The sequence below is a fragment of the Homo sapiens genome, chromosome 15, assembly GCF_000001405.40.
Source record: "Homo sapiens chromosome 15, GRCh38.p14 Primary Assembly".
NCBI lineage: Eukaryota > Metazoa > Chordata > Mammalia > Primates > Hominidae > Homo > Homo sapiens.
The window spans coordinates 26,453,871-26,479,158 of NC_000015.10; the positions used below are offsets into that span (position 1 = coordinate 26,453,871).

Consider the following 25,288-nt stretch of genomic DNA (forward strand, 5'->3'; position numbering starts at 1 on the left):
TCATTGTTTGCCACGACAAGGCCAGTTTTGGTGGACTGGTGGGGCTAACCCACATGGAGTGGTTCAAGGGAGGACAGGAGGAGGAGACGTTGAGAGTGGGGAGTGCAGACTGGGGAAGAATTCTGCTCCTGGGCCACCAAGCACTGCTATATACCCTAAGCAGCTGGCACAGCAAAACCAGAACCAGCACCCTCAGCAGAAGCAGCCAGAGGATCAGCACCAAGGACAGAGGGAGAATGAGGTGGCGAGACAGGCACAGACCCACCAGTGCCTGCCTTGAGGGCAGTGAAAGACCAGCTCCCCCAGCCACATGATGTGTGTCTGCAGAGGCTTTAGATAACCATGTATATAGAGCACCCTTGACATAAGTGGTTCCATCATCTTACAGTTCATAGGACACACTGCAATGGAGAGTTTGCCTAATAAAGATTGCATCCAACCAGATAAGGATATAAACACACTCTTCCACTATTGGCCCTCCCCAGAGGACTCTGGCCAAAAAAAGAGCAGGACTTCAGCTGTTCAAAACGGTCACGTTAATTGACATCGTCTTGCTGTCACTTGTGATAAGCACCCAACATCTGCCCACATCGAAGACTCTTCCTTGCAAGACGAATTGCTGAGGCCAGACGGGGAGATTCTTTTAATCTTTTTGTCACTCTCCCTGTACTGCCTTGTTAACCCTTTTTCCTATCTTTTCTTAACGCTAAATGTGACTTTGTTTGTTGTGGAATGTTTAATCTGTAACGTTTATATATTGATTAAGTATACTATTATGTATGGTTTGCAATATTGACTGACTTATGGAGTGGCTTGAACCTGTGTCCCCGCAGCTCTGACTACCGAGTGAATGGGAAGTACTAACGAGAACTGTCTGCTTGGGAACTCCATGAAGTTCGTGGCTTTTGTGATTGAAATAGCATCAATAAAAGGTTGACACTGTGGAACAACACAAGCCTGCATGGACCTGGTTATCTCTGACCTCGCACCACTCATGAGACCATACCTGAGCCCTACTCCACTTTGGCAGAACTGTTGCATGGCCTCTCTTCATATAATACCTCTCCGTACACCGTACACCGCAGCTCAAAGAAAGGATATATGCTCCCTGTGAAGACTAATGGAACTGTCCCTCCTGATCCTCCTACAGACTTCCTCTGGCCTAATGGGTGCACCATTGCATTATATCTGCCATCTATACACACATATACCTTTCAACCCTGCACTCTCTGAGATGACTGGACTCATGCCTAAATAACTGATGCTGTCCCTAGTGTAAGGTAAGCACTCAATAGTTTCTCAGGAAATGAATATGATAAATATTTTGGCTGTTTAGAGGCTTTCCTTCACTTCATTTTCTGTGTCCTCTTATTTAAAAAGAAGTGCTCACTAGAGGTTACCTGAAGACATATCTGATCCTTGAAACCTGCAGTAGTCTAACACAGAGGCCAAGATCACAGGTCTTCATAAAAGTAATACTTTCCTCATGACAATGAAGTGCCACAGGGCCAACTCAAAAATTGAGACTGAGCCTGGGAGGCCATGTGGGTTCTCGGCTTTGTGCGGGCAGGAATTCGACAGCCAGCCAACAGAGTGAAGAGAAAGCAAGTTTACTAAGAAAGTAAAGGAATAACAGGGTGGCTATGCCATAGGCAGAGCAGCCCTGAGTGCTGCTGGTTGGCTTTTTCTATGGTTATTTCTTGATTATATGCTAAACAAGGGGTGGATTATTCATGAGTTTTGGGGGAATGGGAGGACAGTTATGGGAACTAATGTTTCCTCCCCCTTTCAGACTATATAGGGTAATTCTTGATGCTACCATCGCATTTGTAAATTGCCATGGCATTGGTAGGAGTTTCTTTGAGCAAGTTAACGTATTATAATTAGCATATAATGAGCAGTGAGGACAACCAGAGGTTGCTTTTGTGGCCATCTTGGTTTTGGTGGGTTTTGGCTGGCTTCTTTACTGCATCCTGTTTTATCAGGTTTTTTTTGTTTTTTTGGTTTGTTTGTTTTTTGAGCTAGGTCTTGTAAAACAGTCCTGCCAACTTCCTATCTCAGAATCACATGTCTCTCATTGTCCTAGCTCAGGGTGATAACACGGGAGGCATGCCAGGTTACTTGTCACCCAATATTCATTCTCCTGTTCTGAGTCAGAAATGAATGAGGGGCTTGGCTGTGATGTTCTCCTCTGGACAGAGCCCTCACTTCCCAGCTGACTTGAGGCTGGTGTGGCCTTGTGTCCAGGTATGTGGCCAACAGAGATGTAAGTAGAAATCTTACCAATTCTTCCAGGAAGTCTTTTCAAAGAGAGACTGGACGACCTTCTCTCTTTCTCTCTCCATCCTGCTGCTTGGGAAAGGGATGTGACATCTGGAGTCCTGGCAGCCACCTTGGAGCACAAGATTAAGAGCCCCAGCTAAGGCAGGCAGAGTGGCTGGCGGAAGGGAGCAAGGGCCCCTGGGGAACTTACTGCTTACCCTGGGCTTCTTTAAAGTGGAAAAAAAAAAAAAAAAGAAATTCCACTTCCTATCAGCTCTTTTATTCTGGATGTCTCAGCCAAACACACCCAAACCCAATACTGACATAAGTTATTTGTCAGTATTGACAAATATTTGTAAAGTCTTCACTTTTGAAATTAAATATATTCACCGTGCTGTGTAAAGTATAATATGAATGCTTTTTTAAAAGTTATTTGTTTACTGGGATTATATTTGCCTGTGTGAGCCAAAAGAAGCATTTCTGCCTATTACCGTGGGAGTTTTCAGAGCATGGGTCTAGGTGGCGATATCCCCACTGAATCAAAAGGCAGACTCAGAAGTGGTTTTACAAAGAGAAATATGAACACTTTTCTCATTGTGAGATAACCATTACATCTCAGTTTAAAGATCCAAAGCTAATTTTGGAAATTATTTTTAAGGCACAGAGGAAAAACATCATGTGAGCTCACAGGTCTGACACAGTTGTGAACAGCTTGTTTTCTTATAGAAATGCTGTGGTGGCTGCCTGGGCTAGGGCATTTGCATTTCAACCAAATGTTCTTTCAAAGTCAGAGCCAGAGCAGCTAGAAGCTTCCTTAAAACCAGGTGAACCCTAAACGTAGAAATAGGAAAAACAGTGGCCTCCACTGTGTCCTTTCACATCTCGGCCTCTGAACTTCAGCCTGAGACACTGGAAAGCTGCACCCTTCCTCTGTCTCCTCAAATCCTGCAAGCCCCAAGGCACATCACCCGACATCAAAAGGCCATCCTCATTTCAGGTGGATGTCCCATTTGACTGACAGCAGCTACTTGTGTTTCAGAATAGGATTTGCTTAAAAATCACTTGGTATCCTTGTGAGCAGGGAGTCTCCCAAGGCCTGACTCCACATTCTGCAGCATTAGGTGAGCACATGACCCAAAAATCTATGTCATTTATTACTTCCCAGGCACATTGACTCAGATGCTCCTTGGACCATTCTCAGGAGTATTGGTGTCGATATTACTGATCTCAAAATGAAACCATCCCAGTTTCCCCATGGAAATGATGTTTACCAGGTTTGGATGGTTCTTTTGAATAAACAGAAATTGATCCTCTGATCTTAAAACTTGAAACTTACATTTGTCTTATCTGAGTTCCTTTCTTGGGCAAGGAACTGAAACTCACTAGATGAACACATCCAGGCTCTAAGACACCAGACCCCTCATCCTTCATGATTGTTTCCTCATGCCTCCCTAATTTCTGTTTTTCTGCATGTAGTTACATTCCTGTGCACTATATTAAACCCCAGTGTTAGTCAGCTGGCGGGACAGGTTTGAGAATTATCTCTTGTCTTCTTGGCTAACACTACTCAAATAGTGCTTTCTTCCTGGACAATATTTGTCATCTCAGAGATTGTCTTTCCATGCAGGGAGCAAAGAGACCTGGACCTAACCCCTGGTGTTTTAGTAACAAAAATTCAAATCTTAAAAGGTGTTATATATCATATCCTCCACTCCTATATGTCTATATTTGAGCTCAAAATTAAAGAAATCTTCATTTAACTGGGTTGGGAGTCCACACTTCCTTTCATGCCCAAACTTTCGGTTGGCATTGGGTGTACTGAAGGGAGAACCCACTGCTGAGCCTGGCTTCCCGGAGGTCAGCTCGCCCTCCAGGAATTTGTAATCTACTTGGGAAATCAAATGATGGAATACCAAGCACAATTATTAACTATTCTTAAGCAATTACCTAAAGGTTTGAAGTGTGCATTGAGCATTTATGTATTTGTAAGGTTCTACCACCTGACCTTGCTAGATTTTGATGCATTTTGGCATGTTCTCGTACCTTGGATCCTAAACATTCTGGCTGTGGCTCTATGACTCCTTTCTCTTCTTGGTTTTGAATGTGGCTCTCCTAGCTGTACCTGAAGAGAGGCTAAGGGTGAAAAGACATAAATATACCATTTGTGAAATTAAATAATTTAAACTTTAAGATGTTGGAATTTTAAATTATTCTGAGCCTTGAGAGGAATGTGGCTATGCAGACTGAGTCACATAGCAGGGAGCAGCAACTCCTTTTTTTTTCTATAACTTATTAAGATCAAACAGTGCCAGAGGTAAGACCCTCTTGGATCACTGTTCCTCCTCATGGAGGAATAATCTTCCCTGGAATATAGCAATCTGTAAGCAATCAATTGCTACAGTATATGCACTAGTCTTGTCTGGAAAATGTTCTAATCCTGCTAATAATATTTCTATCTAGGTGAAACTAACTTCTCCACTTTAGAATGCTAACACCATTCATGTGGAGTTAGTGTTTCCAGGTGGCTCTCCTCAAGTATTGCCCTCAGATAAACTCTATACTAAATCATATTTTCTGAATCTCATTATTTAAAGATGATGTGCTCATGCATGCCTACTTGCATACAAGGTGTATTGTGTGTAGAATATTTACCATTATGGATTCAGTTCTTCAGAGAAGACATGGACTTGTGCACGCTTGAATTTAGTTCAGGGGAGCACATAACAATCACAAAGATCTCACTCAAATCCCTACCTTCTTTCTACTGGGGTGGCTTTGTGTCTTTGAAATATGAAAAACAGGCCCAGTGTGATGGCATACACCTGTAATCCCAGAGCTTTGGGAGGCTGATGCAAGAGGATCATTTGAAGCCAGGAGTTTGAGATCAGTGTGGGCAACAATACAAGAGTCCACCTCTAAAAAAGACTTCTTTTTAAATTTAGCTGAGTATGGTGGCAAGCACCTGTAGATCCAGCTACTTGGGAGGCTGGGGCAGGAGGATGGTTTGAGCCCAGGAGTTTGAGGCTGCAGTGAGCTATGACCATGCCACTGCACTCCAGCCTAGAAAACAGAACAAGACCCTGTCTCTAAAAAAAGGAAAAGAAGAAAGAGGAGGAAGAGGAGGAAAGTAAAAGAAATATAAAAACAGAGAAATGAAAGCTGTTTTTACAAAGAGATGTTAAGAAGGTCAGTATTTTTTGGACTCACCCAATCTGGCAGAAGTCCTAGAGAAGGCTAGACACACAAATCACACTTGGTAGGAGAACGGAGGCTGGTGCTGTGAGATGTAGGGAGTTCTGTTGCAGAGAGCCTCTACAGTGTTAAGGGGAAGAAGGTATCCAAGCTGCTCCTCAGAGGTCAACCAAAAGGTGCAAAGAGAGCTTCCATATGGGCCCAGAATGGGCATGGGCATGGCCAGTTTGATAGGTGCAAGTAGGGACCATTGATCTTGAGAAAAGGAGATAACTTTTATTCGAGGAATATGAATCCTTTTAAATTATCAGGCCAAGAGAGACGTAAAATGAGATAACAATCACATCCTACTTAACCCATGAGCTATGTATTCATTTCTTGCAACTACTTACTATTGCCACAGGTAGCTAGAAATTAACCGAATAATGCTGCACCAAACACAATGACCCACACTTCACTGTTATCTCAAATTTCTGGACTCAAGCAGTCCTCCCACCTCAGCCTCCTGAGTAGCTGGAACTACAGGCATGCGCCACCACACCTGGCTAATTTTTTTTTGATTTGGTAGAGACAGGGTCTCACCGTGTTGTACAGGCTGGTTTCAAACTCCTAACCTCAGGCAATCCTCCTGCCTCAGCCTCCCAAAGTGCTGAGATCACAGTTGTGAACCACTGTGCCCTGCCCTCTACTTCTATTAATTTTACCTCAGCTTTTTCCTTTTAGATCAAAAATTTAACAATGTCTATATAGAATTACCCAGTTGTCCTTTGGATTTTATAAGCTTGTGAGGCTCCAATAGTGTTTTAGTGATGTTGAAGGGTCCATAAAATCTCTGTAAATGAGGAGTTTGGATAAGCTATTGTCCAAGACCCCTGGCAGCTCTAAATCGTTTCCATTCTAGTTAACAACACAATATACACTCTCCTGGAATGCCCATCAAACAGTCTTGGCATTTCACTCCCCAGAACTGACTGGGTCCTCTCCCAGGTTGCTGACCTCTGTAGAAGGGTAGGTGGCGTGTTGTGCAGCTGAACTGTGTCAGCAAAGTCATGCAGCCAAGTGTGCACAGAGATCTTGAAAGTAGTCCAGGTCCAGACACATCCCCTGTCCAGCACCTCACCCTACTCAGTTATCTGGAGAATTCCTATCACTATCCTATGCCTTTCTTCTTATGTTTTCTTTTCATATACTTTATTTTTTAGAGCAGTTTTAGGTTCACAGCAAATTTGAGCAAAAGGTACCACAGGTTCCCATCTGCCCACTACCCCTACACATACATGGCCCTCCCCCAGTCAACATCCTGCACTGCAGTGGCACATTGGCTCCAATGAAAGAACCTGCATTGACAGATCATTGTCACCCAGAGTTCATGGCTTACATTAAGGCTCACTCTTGGTGTTGTGCATTCTATGTGTTTGGACAAGTACATCATCACGGGTACCCGCCACTGTAGTATCATATAAAGCAGTCTCATAGCCCCCGCAATCCTCTCTGCTCCTCCTGTTCATCCCTCCCTCCCTGTCTGCTCATCAGCTGGCTTTCAGTGACTAAAATGGGGACCCCAGGATTTTGTTTTATACACTGCTTATTTGCAGTGTCAGCCCCTAAAACATGGTGTATTGGGACGTACCACATAACAATTTGCAAAAGGAATGAATGAATGGGTGAGTGAACGGGCAATGCCAAGCAAAGGTGTAGCCAGGAAAGTCCCACTGACACTGACACAGAAGGCAGGACTGGCAACACCTCAGATTCTTTCATCTCCCTCTTGCTGAGGTGTTTTAATAAAGAAAGCAGGAGACCTTTCGTGATTTCTGATATGGTTTGGATTTGAGTCATTGCCCAAATCTTATGTCAAATTGTAATCCCCCATGTTGGAGGAGGAGCCTGGTGGGAGGTAATTAGATCATGGGGGTGGACTTTCCCCTTGCTGTTCTCCTGATAGTGAGCGAGTTCTGTTGTGATCTGGTTGTTTACAAACGTGTAGCACCTCCCTCTGCTCTGTCTTCTTCTTCTCTGGCCATGTAAGATGTGTCTGCTTCCCCTTTATTTTCCCCCATGATTTTAAGTTTCCTGAGGCCTCCTCAACAATGCTTCCTGTGCAGCCTGCAGACTCATCCCTGGCCCCCAACAACTCTAGGGGAATGGGTAAGTTGGACTGGCAAGGAGCAACCCTGAGCAACCCTGTCTCACCACGAGCCTCTGGAATCTTAGCAGGAAGAGACCCTTTGACCAGCACAGACACTCCAGTTGGCAGAGAGCTGCTTAGAGAAGTGGTAGGGGTGGCATGCCTGTTGAAACAGAGCTCAGAGGGTTTGGAGCTGGAGCATCTGTAGTGGAGCATGGCCAAGGAAGCCCATCCCTGTCGCCTCCACTTGCTCCCATAGGAGATATTAGCCTTAGGGGAACTGTCAGACCTCATCTCTGCAGGGCAGTCTTGTCCATCATATGGGACCTGTCCAATCTGAGCATCCCTTGGTCTGCTGGCCTCTCCCAGGGCCCCAACCTACTGGCAGAGCAGCCTTGGATACCCTGCGGACCCGCATCATGCCTCCTGCGCCCTGGTAGACTATGCCCATCCAGTGGAGAGCTCCATCGGGGCAGCCCTTATGGCCACACACTATCCTGCATGCCCCCTCCCCACACTGAAGCTTCCCATGGACCCACAGCCAGTCCCTAAATTACTTATGCCAACACGTGTGTGTGCAGATGCATTTGCTTTCCTTGTCTCACTAGCACGTGCGTGTGTGTGTGTGCACCCTGCCCTGCCACTGCTGTGGTGGGAGTGCACTCCGCTCACTCTACCCCCACCAAACCAACAGTGGAGCTTTGACAGGTATACAGCCAGCCAGCCACACCCCCACCAGCATCCTACCCTTGTGTCAACATTTCTGAGGGACTAAAACTAGACATAGAGAACAGTGGACCCTCCCCTTCCCTGAGTGACCACTCCTGACTGTGGTGCACAGAGAACACACACAGACCTGTGCCTACCAGCGCCCCACCCTGCTGCTAGTACCACTACCAACATGACCACATGTGCAGTCACCATCAGGGGCCCCTCACCCCGGAGCTGTGCTTCTTCCACCACTGTGGTGAACACCCACATGGAGGCAGGCACCCCGGCCCACGCTAGCACCCTGCTGCAGTTAATGAGTGTGCACCCTGCCGTGTTGCCACTGCTGTTGCTGCTGGCACATGCAAACAAGGACAGATCCAGCTGTCTCCCCACTATAAACATTTTGGCTGACACCACCCACCAGAGTAGTGACCAATGGTCCAGAAGCACCTCGGCCCCCTAGTGCAGTGGATTCACAAACTCGAGGAGCCAGAGAACAAAGTCAGGGCCCAATACAAGTCCCCCAGAGTTAGGGCACACAGTACAAGAGTTGGGAGCTCAGCATTGGCCCCCTAAAATCTTGCAGAAACAAAGCCAGTTGGCTGAATCCACCTTACACCATAATCAAATCCTCAAGGTCACCAGATAGGATAAAAGGGAAAAAATTCCATCCAAAGGTCAACAGCTTCAAAGATGGAAGAAACATCAGCCCACAAAGATAAGAACCAATGCAAGAACTCTGATAACTCAAAAAGCCAGAGTGTCTTCTTTCCTCTAAACAATTACACCACCTCTCCAGCAAGGGTTCTGAACCAGGTGGAGATGGCTAAAATGACAGAAAGAGAATTAAGGATATGGATAGAAATGAAGATAACTGAAATGCAGGAGTACATCGAAAACCAATCCAAGGAAGTTAAAAATCACAATAAAACAATACAGGAGCTGACAGACAAAATAACCAATATAGAAAAGGCTGTAACTGCCCTTATAGAGCTGAAAAACACACCATAAGAACTTCACGGCCGGGCATGGTGGCTCACGCCTGTAATCCCAGCACTTTGGGAGGCTGAGGTGGGCAGATTACGTGAGGTCAGGAGTTCGAGACCAACCTGGCCAACATGGTGAAACCCTGTCTCTACTAAAAATACAAAAATTAGCCAGGCATGGTGGCACATGCCTGTAATCCCAGCTACTTGGGAGGCTGAGGCAGGAGAATTGCTTGAGCTCAGGAGGCAGAGGTTGCAGTGAGCTGAGATTGTGCCACTGCACTCTAGCCTGGCAGAGAGAGCAAGACTCTGTTTCATAATGCAACTACAAGTATTAATAACAGATTAGAACAAGCTGAGGAAAGAATCTCAGATCTTGAAAGACTGACTTTCTGAAATAGGACAGACAAGAATATAGTAAAAAGAATGAACAAACCCTGTGAGAAATATGGGATTATATGAAGAGACCAAATCTATGACTCACTGGTGTCCCTGAAAGAGATGAAGAGAGTGTAGGCAACTTGGAAAGCATATTTCAGGATATTATCTATGAGAAATTCCCCCAACTTAGCTAGAGAAGCCAACTTTCAAATTCAGGAAATTTCAAGAACCCCAGTAAAATACTTCACAAGAAAATCATCCCCAAGACACATAATCATCAGATTCTCCAAGGTCAAAAGAAAGAAAAATTTAAAAGGCAGCTAGAGAGAAAGGTCAGGTCACCTACAAAGGGAAGCCCATCAGACTAACAGCGGACCTCTCAGCAGAAACCCCACAAGCCAGAAGAGATTGGGGGTCAATATCAACATTCTGAAAGAAAAGAAATTCCATCCCAGAATTACATATCTGACCAAATTAAGCTTTATAAATGAAGAGAAACAAGATCCTTTTCAGACAAGCAAATGCTGAGGAAATTTGTTACCACTAGCTCTACCTTACAGGAGCTCCTGAAGGAAGCAGTAAATATGAAAGACTGTTATCAGACACTACAAAAACACACTTAAGTACACAGACAGGTGACACTATAAAGCAACCATCTAAACAAGTCTGCAAAATAACCAGCTAACATCACGACAGGAACAAATCCACATATATCAATGTGAACCTTGAATGTAAACAGGTTACATGCCCTAATTAAAAGGCACAGAGTGGAAAGCTGGATAAAACACCAAGATCCATTAATATGCTGTTTTCAGGAGACACATCTCACATGCAATGATACCCATGGGCTTAAAATAAAGCGATGGAGGAAAATCTACCAAGCAAATGGAAAACAGAAAAAGGCAGGGGTTGCAATCATAATTTCAGACAAAACAGACTTTAAACCAACAAAGATCAAAAAAGGCAAAGAAGGACATTACATAATCGTAAAGGGTTCAATTTAATAAGAAGACCTAAGTATTCTAAATATATATACACCCAACACAGGATCACCCAGATTGATAAAGCAAGTTCTTAGTGACCTTCAATGAGACTTAGACTCCCATACAATTAACAGTCGGAGACTTCAACACCCCACTGACAGTATTAGACAGATCATCAAGACAGAAAAATAACAAAGATATTCAGAACCTGACCTCAGCACAGGATCAAATGGACTGGATAGACATCTACAGAACTCTCCACCCAAAAGCAACAGAATATACATGCTTCTCACCACCATGTGGCACATACTCTAAAATTGACCACATAACTGAACACAAAACACTCCTCAGCAAATGCAGAAGAACTGAAATTATAACAATCTCTTGAACCACAGCACAAATTAGAAATCAAGACTAAGAAATGTGCTCAAAACCATACATTTACATGGAAATTAAATAATCTGCTCCTGAATGACTTTTGGGTAAATAATGAAATTCAGGCAGAAATCAAGAAGTTTTCTGAAACTAATGAGAACAAAGATACAACATAACAGAATCTCTGGGACACAGGTAAAGCAGTGTTAAGAGGGAAATTTATAGCACTAAATGCCCACATCAAAAAGTTAGAAAGATCTCAATTTAACAATCTAACATCACAACTAAAAAAACTAGAGAACCACAAGCAAACCAACCCCAAAGCTAGCAGAAGACAAGAAATAACCAAAATCAGAGCTGAACTGAAGGAGATTGAGACATACAAAAAACTACTCAAAAGATCAATGAATCCAGGAATTGTTTTTATGAAAAAATTAATAAAATACATAGACCACTAGCTAGTCTAATAAAGAAGAAAAGAGAGACGATCCACATAAACACAATTAGAAACAAAAAAGGTGGCACTACCACTGACCCCACAGAAATACAAATAACCATCATGGAATATTGTGAACACTTCTATGCACATAAACTAGAAAATATAGAAAAACATAGATAAATTCCTGTATATGTATATCTTCCTATGACTGAGCCAGGAAGAAATTGAATCCCTGAACAGACCAGTAACAAACTCTGAAACTGAATCAGTAATAAATAGCCTATCAGCCAAAAATCCTAGGACAAGATTGATTCACAGCCATATTCTACCAAATGTGCAAAGAAGAGTTGATACCATTCCTACTGAAACTATTCCAAAAAATTGAGGAGAAGAGACTCCTCCCTAACTTCTTCTATAAGGTCAGGATCATCCTGATACCAAAACCTTGCAGGGACACACCAAAAAGGAAATCTTCCAGCCAATATCCTTGATGAACATTGATGCAAAAATCCCCAACAAAATATTGGCAAACTGAATCCAGCAGCACATCAAAAAAACTTATCCGGCCGGGCGCAGTGGCTCACACCTGTAATCCCAGCACTTTGGGAGGCCAAGGTGGGCAGATCACAAGGTCAGGAGATCAAGACCTTCCTGACCAACACGGTGAAACCCCATCTCTGCTAAAAATACAAAAAATTACCCGGGCATGGTGGTGGGCGCCTGTAGTCCCAGCCACTCAGGAGGCTGAGGCAGGAGAATGGCGTGAACCCGGGAGGTGGAGCTTGCAGTGAGCCAAGATCGCACCACTGCACTCCAGCCTGGGCAACAGAGCGAGACTCCATCTCAAAAACAAACAAACTTATCCACCAAGATAAAGTAGGCTTTTTTTTTCCTGGGATGCAAGGTTGATTCAACATACACAAATCAATAAGTGTGACTCATCACAAACTAAACTAAAGACAAAAAACACATGATTATCTCAACAGACACAGAAAAGGCATTTGATGAAATGCAACATCCTCTCATGTTAAAAACTCTAAATAAACTAGGTATTGAATAAACATACCTCAAAATAATAAGAGCCATCTATGACAAACTTACAGCTAACATCACATTGAATGGGCAAAAGTTGGAAACATTCCCCTTGAAAACCAGCACAAGACAAGAATTCCCTTTCTCACCACACTCCTACTCAACATAGTAATGGAAGCCCTGGTCAGAGCAATCAGGCAAGAGAAAGGAGTAAAGGGCAACCAAATAGTAACAGAAGAAGTCAGACTATTCCTGTTAGCAGATGACATGATTACATATCTAAAAAACTCCATAGTCTCAGCCCAAAAGCCCCTTAAGCTCATAAACAACTTCAGCAAAGTCTTAGGATACAAAATCAATGTACAAAAATCACTAACATTCCTATACACCAATAACAGTCAGGTCAAGGCTGGGCATGGTGGCTCATGCCTGTAATCCCAGCACTTTGGGAGGCTGAGGTAGGCAGATCACTTGAGGCCAGGAGTTTGAGACCAGACTGGCCAACATGGCAAAAACCCATCTCTACTAAAAATACAAAAATTAGTCAGGCATGGTGGTGCATGCCTGTAATCCCAGCTACTTGGGAGGCTGAGGTATGAGAAACACTTGAGACCTGGAGGCAGAGGTGGCAGTGAGCCATGATCAAACCACTGCACTCCAGCTTGGGCGAGACAACAAGACTCTGTCACAAAAAAACAAAAACAAAAACAAAACAAAACAGGCCAAGAGCCAAATTAGGAATAAAATACCAAGGAATACTGCTAGCAGAAAACAAGAAATACACAAAGCTAGCAGAAGACCAGAAATAACTAGAATTAGAGCTTTCACCAGGGAGGTGAAAGGTCTCTACAAGGAGAACTACAAACACTGCTCAAAGAAATCAGAGATGACACAAACAAATGGAAAAACATACCATGCTCATGGGCAGGAAGAATCAATATTGTTAAAATGGCTATACTGCCCAAAGCAATTTACAGATTCAATGTTATTCCTATCAAACTATCAATGACATTCTTCACAAAAGAAGAAAAATGTATTTTAAAATTCATATGGAACTGAAAAAGAGCCTGCATAACCAAAGCAATCCTAAGTAAAAAGAAGAAAGCTGGAGACATCATGTTAGTTGGCTTCAAAATATACTACAGTGTTACAGTAACCAAAACAGCATGGTACAAAAACAGACACACAGATCAATAGAACAGAATAGAGAACTCAAAAATAAGAACGCACACCCGCAACCATCTGATCTTTGAAAGCTGACAAAAACAAGCAATGGGGAAAACACTGTCTTTTCAATAAATGATGCTGGGATAACTGGCTAGCCATATGGAGAAGGTTGAAAATGGACCCCTTTCTTTTACCAGATACGAAAATCAACTCAAGATGGATTAAAGACTCAAATGTAAAACCTGAAACTATAAAAAGAGCCTAAAAGAAAACCTAGGCAATACCATTCTAGACACAGGAATGGGCAAAGATTTCATGATGACGACGCCAAAAGCAATTGCAACAAAAGCAAAAATTGACAAAAGGGAGCTAATTAAGCTAAAGAGCTTCTGCACAGCAAAAGAGAGTATCAACAGTGTAAACAGACAACCTACAGAATGGGAGAAAATTTTTGCAAACTCTGCATGTGACAAAGGTCTAGTATCTGGCATCTATAAACCAATTTACAACAACAAAAAACCTCATTAAAAAGAGGCAAAGGATACGAAGACACTTTTCAAAAAAAAAAAAAGACATATATGCAGCCAACAAGCATATGAAAAAAACCTCAACATCACTATCATTAGAGAAATGCAAATCAAAACCACAATGAGATACCATCTCACACAAGTCAGAATGGCTATAATTAAAAAGTCAAAAAACAAAAAATGACATGATCATATATCTGGAAAACACCATTGTCTCAGCCCAAAAGCCCCTTAAGCTCATAAACAACTTCAGCAAAGTCTCAGGATACAAAATCAACATACAAAAATCACTAGCATTCCTATATACCAATAACAGGCCAAGGCTAGCAAGGTTCTGGAGAAAAAGATTATACATTGTTGGTGGAAGTGTAAATTAATTTAACCATTGTGAAAAACGGTGTGGTGATTCCTTAAAGAGCTAAAAACAGAACTACCATTCAACCCAGAAATCTCATACTGGGTATATACCCAAAGAAATACAAATCTTTCTATCATAAAAACATGTGCATACATGTATATTAATTGCAGCACTATTCACAATAGCAGCACTATTCACAACAGCAAATGCATGGAATCAATCTAAATGCCCATCGATGGCAGACTGGATAAAGAAAATGTACATGTACACCATGGAATACTATTCAGTCATTAAAAAGAAGAAGATCATGTCCTTTGCAGTGACATAGATGGACCTGGAGGCCATTATCCTTAGCAAACAAACATAAGAACAGAAAAGCAAATACCACATGTTCTCACTTATATGTGGGAGCTAAACGATAAGAACACATGGACACATAGAGGGCAACAACACACTCTGGGGCCTATTGGAGTGTGGAGGGCAGGAGGGGGGAGAAGATCAGGAAAAATAGCTAATGGGTACCAGTCTTAATACCCGGGTGATGAAACAGTCTGTATAACAAATCCCCATGACATGAGTTTACCCATATAACAAAACTGCACATGTATCCCTGAACTTTATTCAAAAAAGAGAGAGAGAGAGAAAGAGATGAAAGAAAAGAAGGAAGGAAGGGGAAAGAAAGAAATTAAGAAAGAGAAAGAAAGGAAGGAAGGAAGGAAAGAAGGAAGGAAGGAAGGAAAGAAGGAAGGAAGGAAGGAAGGAAAGAAGGAAAGGAAGGAAGGAAGGAAAGAAGGAAGGAAGGAAGGAGAAAGAAAAGAAAGAGAAGGAAAGAAAAAGTTACCTATGAGGGTTCAGGACCCAGCTGGCATGGAAAATTTCTAAATTCCTGGGACTACAAGAAAGGCCACACCCTTGCTAAAGTCCCTAATGCTACAAGGATAATTTAAACCGAGGTCATTAGAACTCTGTTAGAGAATCGCCCTTACAGATGCTCTTTCCTTGATAAGCAACTGTAGACCCTAAGCCAGTTCCAGCGGCTTATAGAGACGGTATACAAACTGTCTTTGTGTGCTATAGTTCACCTCTTGTGAAATAAAGACCCAAATTCCACCTCACTTTAATGGTAACACCCACCCCAAAGTGAGCATGGGACGTATGCTACGTATATGTTTACCCATTGTGAATGTGCTTGGGTCTCCTCAGAAATTGGTACAGCTTTTCCCCAAACCTGCTGAATATGTTTGACTCTATTGTTTGATTCAGGCCCTGTAAGGGATAAAACCCAACTGTCCTTCCCGTCTTTGAAAAGAGAACACCTCCAGTCTGCTTTGCAGACATTTCTCTTCTCAGTTTCCAAACTGCTATCACCAATACAGCTTTCCATTCTTTACTATTTAGCCATCCTGGAAGTCTTTTGGATGACACTTAGATGTAGCATTGTTACAGTAGGCAGCCAGGTAGACATGAGCAGAGCAGGAGAGGCCCCCGTCCCACCAGGAATGTCAGGCAACAATCAGGTGATGGGCAGGCAGTTATTAAGCTGTTTCTCCAAAATAATAATTGGTCGCAGCTGGTGCCAGGGAACGGCCGTCTCCCAGCAGAGAGAAAACACCCGAATCTGGTGATAGGCGTCTGGATAGGATATCAGGATCTGGGTGAGTAGGCTTGAGCAAATGGCAGAGTCTAAATGGTCTATGACCACTAAGGGGCAAAATGGCAGAGTCTAAGTTGTCTATGACCTTCCTCTAGGAGCATTCGACTGGTAATGGGAAAATGCCTCAATTGAGCGTATACACAATTCCAGTAAACACACTGCACGTGCGCCCACTGCCAAGTGCTGGCAGGCCACTGCACGTGTGAGAGTCCACCCCAAGGGAAGAATCGGGGGAGAAGTGACATAACCCCAGAAGCATGCTGATGTATAAGACCCCAGGTCAAGGTCAACCACGCACTTGACACTCAGGTTGCCCATTCGACCTGCCTCCAAGTGTACACTTCCTTTTGTTCCTATTCTGAAGATTTTTAATAAACGTTCATTCCTGCTATAAAATTTACCTCAGTCTCTCACTTGAGCTTATGCCCCTCAGTCAAATTCTTTCTTCTGATGAGGACAGAATTGAGGTTGCTGAAGGCCTATACGGATTCACCACTGCTTACAATATCCTTGGGTAATTTTGTTTGGCCATTCCCTTAGCACTGGCAACCCACCTCTTTTACAGCGCTTTGCCATGACCACAGTTGAGACTTGAAATCCCAAAGAGCAGAAGCAATAGGCTGCAGGCCTTTCCCCAACATCTGCCGCACTCACTAATTTCTTACTGTCACTTACTTGTTTGGGCACATCATTATCTTTCTCTCCAGGGTTGGAAGTGGTTTGGAAAGCCCCTGCCAGGGGTGTCCTAAGCGGAGGTTATTTATTTCCAGCCTGTGTAGAAGTCAAGGAAAAGCTTCCTCTTCACCCTCTGAAGGTTCAGTGAAAATCAACTGATAAAAGACAGAATAGGAGAAAAGGCATCCAAAATGTCATTTTAATGTACATAGCATGGGAGAACTGAAGGAGAATGATTACCCAATACCACAGTGGGGGAAGAGAAGCATATATACCTTTTCTCATGGCAAAAGGGGCGATCGGGAGTGTAGACATTCTTTTGAGGAGCAGCAAATCATTAGAGACAATGAGTGGACCCTGGAGATAGAAATTAATTTGTAAAATTTGTCTTTGGAATTTGAAAGCATCTGAGAGGCAGGCGGTATCTTGTGAAAAGTCCTCCCGGGTGTGGCTTCATTCCCCAGTCTTCTTTTCTGAGATAGATAATGAGATTTCAGGCAGAGAACTGAAGGCAACTGGGTTTCCCCTGGAAAGAAGCTTTCTTGGTCAGATAACAAAATCCTAGAGTCCCTCCCTGTGCTTGCGGGTGGGAGCATGGGCACAGGGAGGGACTCTGTTGAGCTAATATTGTGAAACCATGTTAGTTAAGATGAGAAGTGTTGACCTGAAAGGAAGAAGCAGAGGTGAAATTAATAAAAGTAGAGAGTTTATTTGGGCCGAGCTTGAGGATTGCAACCCAGGAGCATAGATTCAAGTTGCCCTGAATATCCACTCTGATTAGGAGCAGTTACAAGTTGATTTTTTTTTTTTTTTTTTTTTCAGACAGAGTCTCACTCTGTTGCTAGGCTGGAGTGCCTTGGTGCAATCTGGGCTCACTGCAACCTCCGCCTCCCAGGTTCAAATGATTCTCCTGCCTCAGCCTCTCAAGAAGCTGGGACTACAGGTGCATGCCACCACGCGCAGATAATTTTTGTATTTTTAGTAGAGACAGGGTTTCACCATGTTGGGCAGGATGGTCTCGATCTCCTGACCTCGTGTTCTGCCTTCCTTGGTCTCCCAAAGTGCTGGGCTTACAGGCGTGAGCCACCGTGTCTGGCCCCAAGCTGATTTTTAAAGGAAAAGCAGCAGCAGTTCCTGAGTTGTTTACCAAGGTCAGAGGGACCTTGGTTCTGAGGCAGCTCTTAAGGCCTCTTAGCATGGCAAAGCCTGTGTTTGGGATATTGCTTTCTGAGCCCCAACACATGTAAACATTTGAGAAAGAAAAGTAGCTCTGGGCAGTCTGAGCTATGTGAGGTCTGCAAAATTTATCAGGCCCAAAGAGCCATGAGCATGAAGCTGCAGTCAAACACCCCCCATTCCCCAGAGCAATTGTTTAAAGGCATTTTGCTCTTTTTCCTTCCCTGTAGTTTCCAGGCAAGCTGATAAATTACCTAAAATGTTATCACAAGTTGCACAAAGTGACCTTCACCTATTATCTTAATGTTCCTGGAATTTGTGATACAAAGAACAATGTATACCAATCAGTAGCTAATGTTATTTTAATGAACCTATGTAAGAACTGCCCCTTCCTTTTAAGAACCCACTTATAATTGTTGCTAATCAGAGTATACATTCAGGGCAACTTGAATCTATGTCTCCTGGGTTGCAGTCCCCAAACATGGCCTAAATAAACTCTCTACTTGTATTAATTTGCCTCAGTTTTTTCTTCCTTCTGGACCTCACATTTTAAAAATGCCATCATCTTCCATTTGATAGCATTATATTTGTCTGTGGCATCCTCTTCCATAAAACATGTATATAATCCCCCTGTGTTTGACAAGTGTTTCCTGGATGAAGCACAACAATAGTTCATCACTTATAAACCACATTATTAAGATAGAGCGTTGGTGTTAACGTCTGAAACGGTCTGACTTCCATAGAATCTTGTTCTGCAGGAAAAAAAAAAGTCATATTCTTTTCACTTAAATATAGAACAAGTGTCCACACTTTAGATCTCACAGAGTGAGAAAAAAAATGTTGCTTTTGCCAAGATCTTTGAAATGAGTACTTTCTTTAACAACTCACAAGAGGATTTAAGTTTCTATTCTTTTTGAAGAATTACAGCTTTCATCAAATCAAACGAAAAGAATTAGTAACTGTGCTGGTACAGCACTGATTCAACCAAATGTAACAAAACGATTGAAAATTTCTGTTGAAAAAGTGCCAGAGCTAGAGCTAATGTTGTGAAACCATGTTAGTTAAGATGAGAAATGCTGACCCGAAAGGAAGAAGCAGAGGCGAAATGAATGTAAGTAGAGAGTTTATTTGGGCCGAGCTTGAGGATTGCAATCCGGGAGCATAGATTCAAGTTGCCCTGAATCTCCACTCTGATTAGGAACAGTTACTAGTCGATTTTTAAAGGAAAAGAAGAGGCAGTTCCTGAGTTGTTTACCAAGAATTTGCATTAAAATAACATAAGCTATTGATTGCCTGTACATTGTTCTTTGTATCACAAATTCAAGGAACATGAAGATACTAGGTGAAGCAGACAGTCAGAAACAAAATGACTTTAAGCAATTGCCTCCAAGGAAGGAGGAGCGTGACTGAAGTCCCATACTCAGGTTTCCCTGAGCCTGATACATTTTGCATACCTCACACAGCTCACACTGCCAGGGCCTATTTTTCTATTCTCAAAAGGTAGGGAGAAGAGGTTCTAAAATTAATGTGTTATTTAGAATTTTATATTAATTCTTTCTTTTCCAATGCCTATAACAACAAAGGATGAAGCATGAAGTCTTGTCAGTTGTCTAAGTGCTGTCTAAATGGAGAGGCAAAAATACTTTTAACAGCTTTGATAGAAGTGAATTTGATATGCAAAAAAACTGCACATATTTAATGTATGCAATTTGATGAGTTTGGACATTTGCAGACACCCGAATACCATCACCACAGTCAAGGTAATAAGCACATCCATCTCCTCCAAAAGTTTCCTATGTCTCTGCATGTTTTTTCTCAGGCAAAGTATTTTTCATCAGTACATAGAACTTACATAAATAAAGGGAAGAAAACACTAAAGACATGTGAAAAAAAATTCTTAGCATTCTACCATAGAAAGAATCTTAGCAATCCCTGTCTTCTCATTTTGCATATGAGTGAAGAGGGCACAAGGTAGGGGGTTAAATGACTTATTTTGGACGCACAGAGAAAGGGACCCAGGTGTTCTGGTTCCAAATTGCAGGCTGCTGCTCTTCTCGCATGGTAATTTTCCCTCCAGATCACCCCTGCCTGGTCCAGCCTCTAACACAAATCCTCTTTGCCCATTTTATTTAGTTTTTATTCCTATTTACTGTGTTGTTTAAAACAGTGATGACAGAAATGTCCAAATTCTGCCAAAACATGTTAGAGGTTTATTCTGAGCCAATAGGAATGGCCGTGGCCCAGGTTACATAATCTCAAGAGGTCCTGAGAAAGCACACCCAAGGCAGTTGGGTTACTTCTTACTCAATCAGTCTTTGTGACCATAAAACAGCAACTAAACCCCAGGCAGCACTTACCATCTATCATCTATCATCTATAACCTGTCTGTTCCACATTTGCTAAGGCACTGAGTGGGATGGGGTCCCAGTCCAGCACAGGGACCCATCAGGGTGACAATGTGAAGTTTGGTAGGATCACAGTGATGGTCATCACTATACCCTAGTGACCCAGGGCTTCACTGAGGCCAACCTCTAGTCCTCATAGGAGTACTGGGTCAAGAGTCCTAAGGACTTTCCTTTGGTTTTGCTGTTCTTGACTCACTTGGACCAACTCCCTGCCCATCTCAGCTGCAAGGTTTGCTTGAGAGCGTCTCACACTCATCAGGCCTTTCAGCTTCTTCATTTCCCAAACAGAAAAAGAACTAGACGCTGTGAACCAGTTTGTATCACTACCTTCCACTTGGAGAAGCTTGAAAATTAAACACTCTTATTTCCTGGAGTCTCTTGCAGCTAGGATCTAGGGTGCTGATTAGTCCCTGCCAACTAAATTAGCATGTGTTATGATTTCCATTGTTATTGTTTCTTTTTAATTTGGTCTTGGGGGTCTCTCTCCTGAGAGGGTCGGAAGCCAAGACAGAACCACTCTCTAGGACAAGACTGACAAGGGGAAAGTTAAGTTCATGTGAGTCAGTCAGTTAAAACACAAGAGGAAGTAAAACCAAAATGCAGGGAGCAGAAGAAATGTATTACTCCCAGTCCCAGAGAGGCTGGGGGTGGTGACAGGAAGTCTGGAGGGGGAGGGAGTTCAACCAGTGAGAGGAAGAGAGGCAGGAGCTGGGACTAGGCCTTCATTAAGGCCCATGGGCATTTCCTTAGGCTTTCCCATGGGGTTTTGAGTTGGCTAGTTTTAAAAAAAGATGCACAAAGCAGGAAACCTCTTTAAATGACTCTGCTGTTATTGTGGTCAGCAGCTGCAGGGTGGGTTGGGTTTGGGTCAGTGGAACAAGATGCCAGCAGACAATATTGCAGACAACCACACAGGGCAGGGAAGGTTTAGCTAGGTCAAAATGGACAGATAGGACCATTTCAAACAACTTATGTCAAGCCTAAAAATGGGTGCTGAGGCAGCAACTCTATTAAACCAATTCATGACGATTTGCTCAAGATTTGGAAGAGAGGACGCGAGGAGGCTGGACTCCCATCTTCGTTAGTTGGTTCTGTGCACAAGCAACATCATAGGAACAGGAGGCTTTGGGCAGGAGCTTGCTCCCGGGGGCCCTTCTCTTGCTCCCTGAGTGAAAGAGGCAGCCGGCGGGGACATAGCTTTGTGATGGTTTGCAATTGTAGGAGAGATTTAGAGGCCACATTTCATAGCCTCAGGGGTAGGAACTTCCCTGTGGGTGGGACCTGTGTACTCAGGGCCGTTTCTGGAGGCCAGCCTGTTCCCTCCTGCTTTCAGCTCTTCCACCAGCTGTGTGCGTATCTACTCCTGTGTACTATATCATTTCCTGACTAACGGCCCTGGAGTGACTCCTGCGTCCTGCAGTGAGCCCTGACCCCTGCAGGTGGGTCTGGAGGAAACCTAGACATCACCCATCTTCACTGCGCTAGGCATGGTCTTAGGAAATGTTAAGGGCAAGATGTTTGTCATACATTGGACAGAAAAGACTAGAGTGTGACAGTTTCTGAGTTAATTACACATAATAGCACACAAACCGGTAAATATCTTCTTCATGTAAAGATACGTTAGGAAAAGAATTACAGAAGATTCTGGTCATCTGTTTATGATATACACTGCCTAATTTGGCTGCACATATATATAACTTCTTTAAGCATCTTTCAAGGACATGTTAGAATTTTGTGTTAAAGAAAAACCATAAGATCTACAGGCTCCTGAGGGAAAGCTAGAAGGAGTTTCCTTTCTTCCACTACGCAGAACATTCAATCATTTTATTCCAAAATCAAAGAGAAAGAATGGTTTTTACTGAATTCTAGTACTGGGTTTTAAAGCCTGCAAGAGGAGATTAAAGGACAGGCCTAAACCTTTAAAAACCTGTTTCCTTCGAGGCAGCTGGAGATGTTTAGAAGGAAAGACCAATCTGAAGGCCACAGGGGTCTTCAGAGGCCTGAGGCTGGTAGAGGGGTGCCCATGGGCACAGACTGGTGGTGAAGCAGGGGCAGCCTGAAGAGAGGTCATTGCCTTGTCCCATGGCTGACACCTTCATTCTAGTGCCCCTCATTAGTCATCTCTTCTCAGAGAGGACTCTGATCAATGAGCAACTTTTTCCCAGAAGCTTGTTTCATGTTATGGTGCACTTTCCTCTTCCTGTCCAGATAAAAAGTCTTCTAATCTGTAAACTTAGAAATCTGGATTCTATAAGAAGCTTTGAAAAGTAGCATAATGGATTTTACTCTGAAATAAGGTTGTCCCTTGTTTTCAATGCTTTGTCAAGCATGCCAGTGTTGGTAAATGATGTGTATGACGTGTTCCATCTTTTCTTTGCATCGAGTTCTTGTACATATCGTTCTTAATCCCTCTGGGAAGGAGCACTCTGGTGAGAAAGGCACCTGTCTTAGCCCAGGAGTCTAAGTCAGCTGCCTGCTGGGCCAGTCTCCCTGCCACTCTCCCCTCACCCCACACACCCTGTCTGCCCCTTGCTTTTCCATAGAAGCGGCTGTGAGATTGTCCTCGTCTGCCAGGGAGTGGTGAATTAAGCATTGCAAATGACATTCTGAAACGGACTTCAATATTTGGAGACTTTCTGAGCTCCGGCCTTAAATCTCATTTCAGGCCGTGATGGGGTTTCTGGTAGGTTTTCTAGTGAGACTAAACTGTGGTGGCTCCCGAGGCTTCTGATTTCTATTTCCTAGCATTGACACTGCCAAATTTCCTCCCATTTAGGCTTGAGGCAGAAGGGAAAATGTTCAAGATTATGCACTTTTGTTAAGATGTGCTAAACCCAACCGGGATGTTTTTAAAATGGAAAAGGTAATACAAACACCAAGGCCTGCCAAAGGATGAGCCCTCTTAAGCTCAAGTGAGAGAGATTTACTAGGCACTATTTTTATCCTATGAGCAAGAGAAACTACATTTGAACCGAAGTATAATCACATTCACTGCTTGGTATTTTACATATGTTTTTATCTCTCTCCAATTAGCTATGTTACCTAACCTCTTGTTCCTATGTGAAAATAGACAGCGAATTAGAGACGCCTCTCGGAATTGGTGGTAACTATTCTTGACAGATGCCGAACAGCGAACCAGCTGCTAAGCACAAGTGAAATATAGAAGTCCCTGCTGCTGGACTAATTTAATCTAATTGGTATATTTGTCTTTATTCATGATTTTATGAGGAAAAAAAAGATCATTGACAACAGCATTTCAGATAAATTCTTTTCATTCCTTGCGGCCTTGGAAAGTTTTTCTTAATCTGTTGCACTTGCATTGGCAAGCACCTGCACCCCTCTGCCCACACTTGGTGGGGTTCGGTGTTATTTGACTAAAAGGAGAAAGTATTTGCTTACCTGCAATGAAGAATTTTTCAAGCTTCTTCATCCTTGTTGGTCTGCTGTCCTCCCTTGACAATTTAATACAGTTGCCTTATTTCCTAGCTCTTGAGATAAAGGCATCTTCCTGTGCTCCTCCTAGCCCAAGACAGATGTTCTTCTTACATGAGCATGAGTTTATCTCCCATGAGGAAGCAGCAAGGAATTAGTCTACAAAGAGAAACAGAGTGAAAATGGACAAGGTACTGATAACAGCAAGGTTTTGAAAGGAAACAGGTCAGGCAAATTAGAGCAGGGGTGAGGAAGAAGAGAAAATTGAAAAGTAGGTTTTCAATCCTCTTCCTGCATCTGTGTGCTCTCCTAGGCTGGCAAGAGGGTTAAATTCATTGTCATGTCCAGCACAGACTTAATCATTCAGTCAGTGGCCTGGCTTTCATTGTTTTAATCTACTTATGAGGACTAATTTTTACTTGATTTCTTTAACTATGAGAATTCTCCAAGATGGAAGAAGAAGAAGTAGCTCTAAATTTAATCCTAAACAATAAGAAATAAAGCCATGTTAAAAAATATTTTGACATAATATGTAATTTGCATTTTTAAATGTCTGGAAAAATTGCAGTCATGATATCTCAAGTCCACAGTTAGATTTCTGAAAACCAACTGTGGCATTTAATATAGAAAGTTGTGGGCTTTGGTATATTTGGTTTGTAATTTCATCTAAGGTTGAAGACTAAAACAACAGGAAAACAGGGGAATCAGTTCTTCCCTCATTTATTTATTTGTTTTTCTTTTCTTTTTTTTTTTTTTTTTTTTGAGACAGAGTTTCACTCCTGTTGCCCAGGCTGGAGCGCAATGGCACAATCTTGGTTCACCGCAACCTACGCCTCCTGGGTCCAAGTGATTCTCCTGCCTCAGCCTCCTGAGTAGCTGGGATTACAGGCATGTGCCACCATGCCTGGCTAATTTTGTATTTTTAATAGAGACGAGGTTTCTCCATGTTGGTCAGGCTAGTCTCAAACTCCCGATCTCAAGTGATCCACCCACCTCGGCCTCCCAAAGTGCTGCCATTGCAGGCATGAGCCACCGCGCCCAGCCTTTTTGTTGTTGTTGGAGAACAGGACCTTGCTATGTTGCCCAGGCAGGCCTTGAACTCCTGGGCTCAAACTATCCTCCCGCCTCTGCCTCCCTAAATGCTGGGATTGCAGGCATGAGCCACTGCACCTGGCCTTTTCTTTCCTGATTTACATTATTGATGGTAACCATTTGGATCGCTAAAGGAAAAAGAAGCAGCACGCTCATGACCCAGATAATGCCATGGTTCTGATTAAACGAAGGTGCAAAACAGACACAGAGAGAATTAGAGTGCTCCTCAAGCCTCAGGTCCATCAAGTCCAAGCAGGAAGTGGTCCATACTCAGTCCTCATAAGTTCTTTGTTGGTCTTCCAAACGGTTTTTT

At 43.0% G+C, this 25,288-nt stretch overlaps 2 long non-coding RNA genes across 9 annotated transcripts in view, besides 1 other annotated feature; one reads left to right on the forward strand and one right to left on the reverse strand.

The window, feature by feature from the left end:
- LOC105370740 (uncharacterized) overlaps positions 1–24,268 on the reverse strand; it is a 74,705-nt gene extending 50,437 nt beyond the window's left edge. Inside the window, exons 1-6 of one of the 2 annotated variants that reach the window (XR_007064791.1) lie at positions 23,851–24,268; positions 17,146–17,227; positions 16,871–17,025; positions 5,470–5,709; positions 4,306–4,395; positions 2,284–2,392 (exon numbers count right to left, since the gene is read on the reverse strand). This is a non-coding gene — a long non-coding RNA (uncharacterized LOC105370740). The remainder of the gene's footprint in view (positions 1–2,283; positions 2,393–4,305; positions 4,396–5,469; positions 5,710–16,870; positions 17,026–17,145; positions 17,228–23,850) is intronic. The other variant, XR_007064792.1, reaches the window with a different exon arrangement.
- The window catches only part of LINC02248 (long intergenic non-protein coding RNA 2248), a 94,817-nt gene that overhangs the window by 58,814 nt on the left and 10,715 nt on the right, over positions 1–25,288 (forward strand). For 6 of the 7 annotated variants that reach the window (XR_001751451.2, XR_001751452.2, XR_001751449.2 and 3 more), the window contains one exon: positions 834–1,392. This is a non-coding gene — a long non-coding RNA (long intergenic non-protein coding RNA 2248). Of the gene's footprint in view, positions 1–833; positions 1,393–25,288 lie in introns of those variants that run through there. The other variant, XR_001751453.2, reaches the window with a different exon arrangement.
- Positions 8,071–8,571: an enhancer, noted in NCBI's record as "H3K4me1 hESC enhancer chr15:26707088-26707588 (GRCh37/hg19 assembly coordinates)". NCBI's record gives its function as "activates a minimal SCP1, AML or CMV promoter by ChIP-STARR-seq in primed H9 embryonic stem cells {active_cell/tissue: H9 hESC(primed)}" and the evidence as "EXISTENCE:reporter gene assay evidence [ECO:0000049][PMID:30033119]".